The 13,118-nt window shown below is 33.8% G+C and overlaps 1 long non-coding RNA gene across 4 annotated transcripts in view; it reads left to right on the plus strand.

Annotated features, from left to right (window-relative positions):
- Positions 1-13,118, plus strand: part of LOC105378797 (uncharacterized) — a 396,491-nt gene that overhangs the window by 234,791 nt on the left and 148,582 nt on the right. The window contains exon 2 of one of the 4 annotated variants that reach the window (XR_001737670.2): positions 2,583-2,712. The exons of the other annotated variants lie outside the window; for them this stretch is intronic. This is a non-coding gene — a long non-coding RNA (uncharacterized LOC105378797). The remainder of the gene's footprint in view (positions 1-2,582; positions 2,713-13,118) is intronic. 4 annotated transcript variants of the gene reach the window in all.

Consider the following 13,118-nt stretch of genomic DNA (forward strand, 5'->3'; position numbering starts at 1 on the left):
TGAGCCACCATGCCCGGCATGTAAAATCATTTTTGAAGTATGACCCAAAATAACACATGTGTGTTTGCAGATTATCATAAAGTTGAGGTGGAACGTCTATTAGATCTATTTGACTATTAAAAAAACTGGTCATAGTGCTTTCACTAGATACAGAAAAATGACAAATCAAGAGACAAACATTTGAACGCTCACTGTGAGTGCACAAATACACATATTTTGTATGTGTGTATATATATAAACACACATACATACATGTATATCAGCTCTAATGATATATATGTATATGCTGTGTATACATGTATCTCTCTCTATATGTATCAGCTCTATAAACTGAAAATATAATTCAACAATATTTTCCTTTATCTTAAAACATGGAAATAAGTCTTAAAAAGTACATGTTTAAAATGTAAATTCTTATTTGTTTAAATCCAAGCAAATTTTAAACTAAGCGTTAGCCATAATAAGGAGAATTTCATTTTTGTTTTCCTCTGGAGAGGATTGCTGTCTGAATATAAAGTATTTACATATCATTCATCCCAGAACTGACATTAAATTTTACTGAAAGATGAAATTCTTTTTAGCAAAAGTTATTATTTCAATTATACATTTATAATATTTTTGATAAATATACTGAAGGTACAAGTTTATGCTACAGTAAAATTTAGTAAATGCACATGATACTAAAGACACAAAGTGGATTCACGTGTTTTACCATACATTTGTAAGTATACAATTTATAATGTCAATTACAAGAGAGAAACATTTATCTTTGATAATCAGTTTATGTTGCATTGGCTTCCTTTTTTCTCTTTTAAATCACTATAAATTACTCTTAGAAAATATTTACTTTAATTTTGAAGAATGTATCTTGTTGATGTAGTATAGGTATTAAGATGTGTTCAGAATAAATATAAAATATGGACATTAATAAATTATATATCCATTCACCTTACGTCATTAAACATGTAAATTTTACAATTAATTCAAATTATATATACATATATAAAAGTCAAGATTTCAATTACTTATTTTATGAATAAAATATATTTCCCTCAAGATAACAGGATAAGCCTATAATATTGAGACTTTCACAGTATTTCAAATCTAATTTAACATTTTATGAACTTAGAAATACTCCATTACTAGCTTTATAGCATAATTATTTTCATTGAGGCACTCCTCTTCTTTGATAATCTTTTTTTTTTTAGTCAAATTGCTCTGTATTTACATAAAAACTCTGTTTAAGGTGTAAGTTAGAGGTAGTAGACACAAAAGTATTTAACAAGGTCATTATTTAGATTTGAAGAGTTCCTGCACTTTGCAATGCATCAAACAGTAATTTGTAATTGACAGTTTTCTTACCTAGAGTGCTTCTCAGACAAGAGATTGTTCTCCAAAGACAGTCAGCTGGGTAAATGTCAGAGGCTCAAAAAGTAAATTATAGTGCAAACAGTGTTGATATTTCTATGAAATGGAAGAAAAGCATATTTATTTCTAAAATATAGAATTTTATTTAAAACAAGTGAAAACCTTCTATTGTGACCTTTACAAGTTTCCAAACAGTGACGAATTTGGTCATTACAAATAACCTTTTCCAGAAAGAGCTTTACCATTTGGGACTTTCATTTAGTAATATATGTGAATTAATTTTCTTTCTACAAAATAACTCATGTTATTAAATTTTTTATGAGATATTTTATTCCTGATACTACAGCTTTAAAGACATTTTGGAAGGAAAAACAGTAAGGGAGCAACCACATGGTAGTGTATCATTTGAACTTATTGGGAGGAAATTAGTCATTTTTTGGTTTCTTCATTCTGTACAGAACAGTGTTGTATTTGTGTGAATGTTATGGGTAATTATGTCTACCAATGTTCTTTATATAGAGCTTAGTGTAATTTTATTCGGAAGCTCTACTATAAAGCTGTTTCCAACTAAACAAACAGGTGGATTCTCTGAACGCATTGTTATTATTTGTTTGGAATATGGAACTTTTTTTGCTGTATAAAAAATGTGTGTTGTGGTTTTAGGCTGTTTTCCAAGTTAGCCTCCACTACATTTTTTTTTAATTTTTGGAGACTCAAAGAAAGTATAAATAAAATATATGTGCATGATATATACAATTATGTATGTATATGACCATATAAGATTAAATAGAAGATTATGAAAATAACTAAAATGGTGGATAAATAGTATTACCACAAGCCCTAAGTAGCTTGCATAATAACATCACTATTGGAAAATGGGTTCCAAATACCAACTTGGAACTATAGAATCACATCCTGGCCTGATATACCTAACAAAAATGTTCTTTATCCTCAATCCCACATTTCTAAAACACTGAAAACCTAGAGGACTGCAGGTCTGATTCACTGATTGGGGTTTCTTCTGCCTATGATAGGGTTTCTGAAAGGCCAAGGTAGGGAGTATGCAACAGGACATGAGGGATGAAGATGCTACAAAAGACGAGGTTATTTCCTTGGTTTAAAATCCATCTCAATTTTTCCTGAGGGTTTTAAAAAACAAAAAAAAAACAAAGCAAAACAAAACAAAAATAATTTTTCTACCTCTATCCTCCTAGGAATTGCTGTCTCTTCCAGTCTTCATTGTTAAGCAGATGCTGAAATGCACACTCTACAAACCACTGGGAGCATAGAATACTTTCTACCAGATTATCTACACAACCTAATGAGGAGAGCTGATTGTCTTAAGTAAGCTAATTGAGGGGGTGGCATTATCAAGTTCCCAAATATCCTTAAGATTTCTTGGCCAGGCGCAGTGGCTCACACCTGTAATCGCAGCACTTTGGGAGGCCGAGGCAGGCAGATCACCAGGTCAAGAGATCGAGACCATCCTGGCCAACCTGGTGAAACCCCGTCTCTACTAAAAATACAAAAATTAGCTGGGCGTGGTGGTGGGTGCCTGTAGTCCCAGCTGCTCAGGAGGCTGAGGCAGGAGAATCACTTGAACCCAGGAGGCAGAGAGGAGAATCGCTTGAACTCAGGAGGCGGAGGTTGCAGTGAGCCAAGGTCGTGCCACTGCACTCCAGCCTGGCAAAAGAGTGAGACTCTCTCTCAAAAAAAAAAAAAGAAAGAAAGAAAGAAAAGAAAAAGATTTCTTAAAAATTGTATCAATATTTATTGGAAAGTAAAGAAGACTAGATTTATACCTTTTTTCTCAGTTATGTATGAGAGGTAGTGAACTTCCCTGACTACTCTATTTATAATGGTAGCCACAAATTCTTTCCTCTTATCCTGTTTTATATTTCTTCAGATGTTACTGTTTATTTTCTGCTTCTTTCACTGGAATAAAGGCTTCATTGACGCAGGTGCTTTTGTTTTGCATAACTTCCTGTGATATCCTCAGATATGAGAACAGTGACTGGCATATAGTAGACATTAAATAAACATTTGTGAAATGAATGATTGAATGAATACCAACTCAAAGACTTAGGTGCTTTGAAACATGTTTCACCTTGATGATACTTGTTTATGTTCATTTTATCTTACACACTACTAACCACATAGTTTCTTCATGCAAACAACTTTTTAGATACCTGACCATGACTACTTTACAGATAGATTACTTGCTTGAGCCACTTTCCTCTAATGCAGCTCTCTTTCCATAGAAGTCAGTTGGCCTGTCCCCTTTCTCACTGAACCTGACTTCAAGGCCACAGCTCAAACAGGCCACCTGTTTGTCCTTTTCTACAAATTAGGCACCACATGGTTAGAAGTTGCATAGGAAGATAAATGGAAAAACAACAAAGTGGATGAGAGAGAGAGAAAGTTATTGTGAAGCTCTCTAGTCAGAAGCAACCGAGGAAAAAACATGACTCAAAAAAAAAACGTGATTAGAAAATGTCCATAATTTATAGAAACTACCGTACATTGCATGAAAGGATAATTTGCTCTTGCAGTCTGTTTGGATTCTGAAGAGCTGAGAGAAATCTACATACTTTATGCATGAGTGTGTCAGAAAGAGCAATAGGTGTCATGGAGGTAATAATATAGCCTAATTCAAGGTGCTGGGCATGCCACTAAAACATATTTCCTGCTCCCTTTGTATCCGTGACAAACAAACTACTACTGCCCCTATAAAACTCATCCTTTTATTTGAACACACAAGACACACAAAAGCATAAAATCGTATTACTTTTGCAATGCTCTTATGTAGCACAGATGATGTGGAAGCTAGGCTGGATCTGAATGAATTTTGGCCTGAATGTTTATTTGTTTTGGTGACTAGTCTGATTTCATATTAAGATTTCAGGTATATTAATGAAAGGCATATATTGAAAAACAATGGTTTAAAAAGGTAATAATAAATCAGAAACTGGCAAACTATGAACAGGAGTAAAAAAAAAAAATCAGACTGAAAAAAAAGTTAAAGATAAGTCTCACATTTATCTCAGGTTAGTCACAACTCCCACAACCATTTACTAAGACCAATTAATGCCAATTGCAGTATAAAAAGATACAATGAACATGATGAAAACTCTGACTTCAATTCCAATAACGTATTTTGTTTTAAACATCTAGGATGTCCCAGACACTACAAGAAGCACTAGATTCAAAGACAACTATCCTGCTGAAAAATTGGCATATGTCTGCCTTGCCACTTCTAGTTATGTTACAATTTATTTCCACTCTCTCTTATTTTATTTTATTGACGCAGGGTCTCACTCTGTCACCCAGACTGGAGTACAGTGGTGCAATCTCAGCTCACTGCAGCCTCTGCCTCCTGGGTTTAAGCGATTCTCCCACCTCAGCTTCCCGAGTATCTGGAACTACAGGTGCGCACCACCATGCCTGGCTAATTGTATTTTTTTTGGTAGATGGGGGGTTTCACCGTGTTGGCCAGGCTGGTCTTGAACTCCTGACCTCAAGTGATCTGCCCACCTCGGCCTCCCAAAGTGCTGGGATTAGAGGTGTCAGCCACTGCACCTGGCCTCTCTCCTATTTTAAATAATTTTATTTTTACATGCTATCATAACTTCCTAGACACATAATCATCTAATATATTTAACATTATTGTACTGGTTAAATACTTCAAAGTCACAATACTGTAATAGTTCTACTGTTACTGTAAATACTTGCATCTTGAGAATATAAACACAATATAACCTTCAATCAATATACTTCTCAAAAGAATCAGATATTTTGTGGGAGTTTATGCCTAAATTCATATGCATAAAATCCTATTCTGATTTCAGAATATTCTCAGTGAAAATGACAGGCATATGTAATCTAATGAAACTAGAGCAGAAGATATTAGCGTCTATGGAAGGCCTGATATTTTCAAAGTATATGTCTAATAAATAAAATTTTTATACAATGGGGTTTAGATAGTAGCTTAAAATAATAGTTACTATTCAGTGGGAATTTATTTTATGGTAAGAAGTGTGCTAGATGCTTTAGATACTAATCTGTAATTTAATTTTACAGACATTTCCATGGATTAGATCTATATTCCTTACTTTACAGAAAGTAAATTTAGGCTTGGAGAGATTAAGACTTGTAGAAATAAGAGAAGACTAGAACATCTGGAATTTCAATTCTCGAGGTTCCTCAAAACACTAAATTCTTTGCCCTTTCTACTCAAGTATGCTGACTCTCAATTCTTAATTGAATGAACTAGTCAAAAATGACACTTAAAAACAAATTACTTAGAAGTACCCCTTTACAACCCTTCTTAATAATGCTGATCCCACGAATCAAATAAAATCTTCCCACTTAAATACTCCAGAATTTTTAGCATCTTTGCCTTTTTTAGAAACACTGTACTTTGTTTCTGTAGCATTATTATCTATTTGCCGGTTTTGGCTGTTTTATGAAACTATATTGTGGGATAGTGACACAAAGTTTAAGAGTATATTTTAAACTGGCCAGGTGTGGTGGCTCACCCCTTTAATCCCGGCACTTTGGGAGGCTGAGGTAGGAGGATTGTTTGAGTCTAAGAGTTTGAAACCAGCCTGGGCAACATAACAAGACCCTGTCTCAAAAACAAAAAAACAAAAAACTTAGCCAGGTGTGGTGGCACGTGCCTGAAGTCCCAGCTACTCAGGAGGCTGAGATGGGAGGATTGCTTGAGCCCAGGAGTTTGAGGCTGCAGTGAGCCATAATTGTGCCACTACACTCAGCCTGGGAGACAAGGCGAGATCCTGTCTCACTCTCTTAATGAATCTTTTTGAACAGGAATAAACATTCCTACTTGGTCTTGCCTGTAGGCATACAAATCCACCTAATATGTAGAAGTCCTCTCATGGTAGGCAGAACAATGAAACTTCCCATTACTCAAAGATGTCTATGTCCTAATCCATGGAACCTATGATTATGTTATGTTGCCTGGCAAAATAGAGTTAAGGTTACATATAGAATTAAGGTCACCAGTTAACTGACTTTAGGGAGATAATCTTGTATTATCCAGGAGGGTCTAATTTAATCACAAGAGTGGAAGACAGTCAGAGGGAAATGTGACTATGGAATGTGTCAGAGTGATGTGAGGTGAGCAAGACTGGACAGGCAATTTCAGCTTTGAAGATGGTGGAAGGGAACATGACCCAAAGAATGCAGGTAGCTGCTAGAAGCTGGAAGGGCTGGATAGTATATTTTTTTTCTTTTCTTTTTTTTTTTTTTTGTCTGCAGTATCCAGAAAATAACCTATCCCTTCCAACACCTAGATTTTATTCCAGTGAGATTCATTTTAGACTAAGGAAATACAAAACTGTGAGATAATCAAATTGATTTGTTTTCAGATACTAAGTTTGTGGTAATTGGTTTTAGCAGCTATAGAAAATGTATACATCTCTCTTGGCTGCTGTTTCTTCTACGCTAACAACAATTTTGGTAGATGTCAATCAATGTATATTGATGTGACAAAGTAACACTTTCTCTATTAGATTCTTATGGGGTTCTTGTCCATTGATAATTCCTTTGTTGGAAAATCAGTAAAGAGGTTTTTTACTACAATGAAATGAAAATCTGACCTTGTCCTGGAGCTACAGATTATAGTTACAAATCATGTTATGTGCTTTGAGAACATGTACTATTCTTCCCTGTTAGTCTTGAACATAATTTCTGATAGAATAAATGGCTGAATAAATATGAGTAGCTCCTGTTTATCCTCCTCATAGTTCCTTCCTGCACAAAAGTTCCATCCTCACTTCTTCCAATAAAATAAATGGGGCTTCCTTAGCAATTTGTATATTTGAGTTACTTCAACCATAAAGTGCTAATATTTTCTAATTTTTAGAAAAAGGATACAACGTAAGAACATCATGACAAGTTCTCCATCTAAACATTTAGACGATGTGAGAAAAATTTTAACTTCTGTATCTATTCTCTCAAATCCAATTACATTCCCCAAACAAATTAAAGACCCTAGCTAGATCAATATTGCTGTTATATTCCAGGAGTAGTTAGCTGGAATTATATGGGAAAAGAGAGAAAGAATACATGAAAGGAAATATTTTAGTGCCACCAGGACGCTGTTCAGCTTGTGGAGTGTCTATGGAAAACTTCTTTTAATTTATGCCCATTGGGAAAAATCTATAATCATGATTTTTGGTTTTACAAAATTATTTCATTATTTCTGGTAAGCTTTTTATGTATGCATACAACCTCCTCTTTCAGTGCATGGCATTTAAGATACTCCCAACTTCTTCGAAATTCAGAGATGAGCCTCTCATTTTCAATTGCCATTTCCACTCTTTTCAAGCCAACTCAGCTGTGCTTTCACAATATTTTACTTGTTTTGTAAGTTGGCCTCATTTCTTCTCCACTTAATATAGAGTAAAATTTATTTGCTCAATAAAGGTGTAATTCTTTGTTTTCTTTTCTACTTTGCCTTTTGGAACAGACATATGTGCCTTAGCATCCTCCCTTGAATTATATTTATGGAGGGCTATGTGGAAAAACATATGAAGATTATGACTTCTGAATGCAAATGCACCTATCGTGTATGGGAATTGTCTCAGTCCCATTTTCCTTATGTAGGGTAATACTCTACAGAAGGAATCTCTATTGGGAACGCAGCTCGTAAGTCAAGCCTGCAGTCTGTTTTTTGTTCTTCATGGTGTATGTGTCATTTTCGGTGTATATTCCTTTGAGTCTAGACTTCAAATATTTCCCAACAATGTTACCTCAGGGCATGTGAAATAATGCTTTTTGTTTATAATACATCTGTAGCCTTCAATTCACCTACAAATGATTGAAATATTCCATGCTGAGGACACTTCTCAAATCCAAAAGTTTTTAGTAACTCCCAGGAGCAGTCATTCCAGTCATGAAAACAGGGATTAAAATTACTCTGTTCCTCTGTTGAGGGGCATCTCTCAATATTTTCTTGACATTTGACTGCTTTGTAAGATTTATTCAAGATAACTCTGAGACTGTGCCCATCATCATTTTTTTTCCGTCAATTTGGGATAGTGTCAACTTTCCATTTGTCTAGTTCAAATGATAACATGAGTTACGTGTAGGTATACTTACTTTTCCTTTCATATATTAAAATTTTTTTTATCAAGTGTGGGCTTGTCTTATCCCAGTTCAATGAACATATCTTTCTTCATTTTATTTTACTTTCTAAAAAATCTGTTCTTTGAAGTATTTTTTACTGAATTTTGAGCAAAATTTATTTATTTATTTTTAGATTCAATAATTCCTGGATTATGAATTTAAGTTCTTACTTTTGCACTATTTTTTGCAAAGTTCCATTAAATGTATATTTTTTCTCTCCACCTAATTTCAATAAGATGCTATGTTCCCTTTCTAAGTAAAGAAATTTATCCTCTTTATATTTATTCATAAAATCTATCCTTCCCTTATGACTGTGGTACCTGAAATCCATAACCGTAATAAGCATTTTTATAATGCTGAATCTAGAGCCAATTTCAAATGAGGTAATGCTGGTGGATTATGGTTTCAGGCTTCAGGAACCTATGAATAAAGCACAGAAATAAGCCAGAGAGCAAACATGAACCCATCTGCCTTCTGTATTAATGACTAGTCAATATCCCATTTTTTAAAATTAATCCCATTCATTTTTTTCATTTATCAAACAATTCAATTGTGGTTGACTTAATTATTTTAAAAAGTATGATTGTGGTAAGCTCTATGGAAAATTAATAAATCAGGTTGAGGAGACTAGAGCTTGAGGGGCACGGAGGTAACTCTTCGATAGAGTGGTCAAAAAATATGATTGCATCTTCATTACACCCAGAACAATAGAATCCAGTTAAAATGATTTGTTTGGAGTTTGTGTGTGGAGCAGTGGTTGTGTTACCATGTCACCTATTAACCTTCGATAACTTGATATCGTCAGAACCGAGAAGGGCAGAATATGAATACCTTGGTAAGGAATTTCCAGACAAAGGAAATAGCTTTTGCATGTTTGTGGCACAGCAAGGAATGAGAGAGGTGAAAAGAGTGATAGATAATGACATCACAGAGAAAAGAGGAGGGTGACCTAACCAGCAACATCCAAAAGTAGAGATCGTGGCTAAAAGCAAGACTGGAATCAAGTTTTCTTCTCCTTCCCTAGTCAAAACCTTGAAATCTGTATGCTCATATGTTCTCTTGGGCCCTAAGCAGATTAAGAACAATTATTAAAAGCCCAAGTATTTGGCTTATCTCAATGACTCATGGGCAGACAGTAATACACAAAGTAGCAATGACAACAGGATAATATAGAACCCTAGCTGTGTCCATTAGATACATGACCCAATGGATAGTAAGATCAGATCAGCCATTCTTCTTCTCTTGGGAAGAAGCGGGTAAATGAGTGTAGATGAATGGACCAGATATGTATATTTCAATCCCATTTTGGAGCAAGCTATGTAGAAATCTCTTTTTCAGTGAAAAGTGGGTCTAAGAAGAGAAATATTTACTGCTAACTTCTATTATTAACTATTAACAATGCAACTTATCATTTTGAAAGTCATCTAATGTATAGGAAATGCTCTAGCACAAACCTTGTAAATAACACTGTTTTTAAATGATTTGCCAACAATACTTACATTAACATGACAGCTTAGCTTTAGAGCTGTCCATAATAAGACTGCTAAAAGGTCATTGTGAAATGTTAATATAAAATAATATTTTATTCTAGACAAAAATGTGATAGTTTATAAGCTGGTACTGTGTTAAGATTTATTTTTCAGTAAATTTTCCACAAACTTGATGAAAATAATCTCAAGCAGATGGAAATATTATAAACCTTAAAGGAAATCAATGCTGGGTCAACCTTTTTCTCACCTATTTTAAAGTCTCTATTAAGAATGATTAATTCCAGTAATATTAACCTGCATATCTCTAACGATAAGAAATCTCAACACCATAGATAAACTCATCTCTTAACAAAGGTAGCAGGTAACATGGTAACACAACCACTGCTGTACACACAAATTCCAAACTAGTTGTTTTAAGTGGATGCTATTGGTCTGGGTGAATTGAAGATGTAATCATAAGTTTTTTGTTTTGATCTTGGGAAAAAAAGATTCCAATGTTATAGAAATGACTGGGAAGATTCTTTCTTTTTAAGTAAAAAAAAGTACTTGTTCTAGTTATTCACAAAACCATTGAAAATTCACACCAAATAGATATAGAAAAACTTACGTGTAATGTCTTCAAATGTATTTTCTAACATAACTTTTTAATAAAATAGGGAACAATGTGTATATTGCTTTGGATATTATTCTCGCAATAGAATATACTGCGCTTCTATTTCCATGTCAATAAATATATATCTATGTTAGCTTTATAAATTACTTTATTCCTTTACTGGACATTTCAAATACAGTAATACATATATCAAGTATAGTGAACATATTTCACAATGTGGACATTCCATATTTTAGTTAATCATATTATTATAAATAAAATTATGGTGAACATCCACGCATAGCAATTTTTACAGGATTTTTTTAGGAGGACAGTGTGGATGGAGGAAAATTATTCCAAAAAGAAGTTTATATTTTATAGTTTGTTGAACAAGTTGTTAAGTTTTCCTACTGAAATTTCATATGAGTTTTTCTTTCTACTTCTAATGTATGAGAGTGCTTATACAAAACTGATTAAGCTGGAAAATATCATTAATTTCCTCATTATACAAGAAGTAAGGGAAGCTATATGTTTTGTACAAAATGACTGGGACTGGAATTAAATCTTTCTTTAAAATTGTCCTATTGACATTTTGATTGTAAAAATAAAATGGTTTCTCATTTCATTTTATATATCTTTAGTTGAAAGTGAGTCTAAATTTCTTTATATTTTTGAGCAATACCTTTTAAAAATTTTCTGCTTGCATTCTTTACTTATTGTTAAAAGAATCATTCTGTGATTTTTAAGTACTCTTTATGTATTAAGAACATTAACTCTATGTTGTGATTTTTTTACATTTTTTCTACTTGACCCTGCCATATTTGGTAAGCCATCATTCTGCATCTGTAATATGCAAATCCAAAGTAATTATATAATAATTCTTATGCCTGCCTCTGTTGAGATCATATGTTAAAGTTTGTTTTCCATATTTTACCATGGATAAATCTTCTCAAACTACTAAAGATTTTAATTGTCCTTTAAAACTACCTGATTTCATGGAGAAATAACTCAATTACAGTGAGCACTATAGATAATATGCATTTTCTTGACTTACAATTATATTCTTTCAAAAATAACAGTAAAAAGAACAACAATAACAATAATAATTCTCATTTCTCTAAATGCTCTCTATTAAATTATTGATCAATTTTAATCAATTAATTATCAAACCTCTCTCATATTTACTTTACCTTCCCTGGAATCCATGTCTGTCGCTATCATTGGCTACCTGTGACTGCCTAGGCATACCTCATGTTATTGCACTTTGCAAATAGTGGACTTTTTACTAATTGAAGGTTTTTAGGCAACCCTGCATTGAGCAAACCTATCAATGCCATTTTGCAAAAGCATGTGCTCATTTTGTGTCCCTGCATCACATTTTGTTAATTATCCTAATATTCCAAACTTGTGAATTATTATTACATCTATGATGGTGATCTGTGATAAGTGATATTTGATGTTACTATTTTAATTGTTTTGGAGAACCATGAAACATAGCCATATAAGAGAGTGAATCTAATGAATAAATATTGTGTGTGTTCTGATTAGTTCACCTAAAGCCTTTTTCCTATCTCTCTCCCTGGGCCTCCCTATTCTGAGGCACAACAATATTGAAATTAATAACACAAAAATGGTCTCTAAGTGTTCAGCTGAAAGGAAGAGCTGAACGACCCTCACTTTAAATCAAAAGCTAGAAATGATTAAACTAAGTGAGGAAGACAGGTAGAAAGCCAAGAAAAGCCTAATTCTAGGCCTTTTGAACTAAACAGTTAGTCAAGTCATGGATGCAAAGAAAAAATTATTGAAGGAAATTAGTAATGCCATTCCAATAAACACACAAATGATAAGAAAGCAAAACAGCCTTATTGCTGACAAGTGTTAATGGTCTAGATAAAAGGTCAAACCAGACAAAATATTCCCTTAATCCAGAGCAAAGACCTAACCCTCTTCAATTCTATGAAGGCTGAAAAAGGAGAAGAAGCTGCAGAAGAAAAGTTGGAAGCTAGCAGAGGTTGGCTGATGAGATTTAAGGAAATAAATCATCTCCATAATAATAAGGGCAAGGTGAAGCAGTAAGTGATGATGTAGAAGCCACAGCAAATTATCCAGAAGGTCTAGCTAATTAATAAAGGTGGCCTCACTAAACAACAGATTTTCAGTGTAGGAGAAACAGTCTTCTGTTGGAAGAAGATGCCACCTAGGACCTTCTCAGGTAGAGAGAAATCAATGTCTGGCTTGAAAGCTTCAAAGGATAGACTTACTCACTTGTTAGGGGCTAATATAGATTGTTACTTTAACTTGAAGCCAGTGCTCAGATACCATTTTAAAAATCCAAGGGCCCTTAAGAATTACGCTAAATATACTTTGCCTGTGTTCTATAAATAGGAAAACAAAGCCTGGATTACAACACATCTGACTGCAGCATGGCTAACTGAGTATTTTAAACCTAGTGTTGAGATCTACTGCTCAGGAAAAAAAGATTCCTTTCAAAATATTATGGCTCAGTGACAATGCAC

The sequence above is a fragment of the Homo sapiens genome, chromosome 1, assembly GCF_000001405.40.
Source record: "Homo sapiens chromosome 1, GRCh38.p14 Primary Assembly".
NCBI classification, from domain to species: Eukaryota; Metazoa; Chordata; class Mammalia; order Primates; family Hominidae; genus Homo; species Homo sapiens.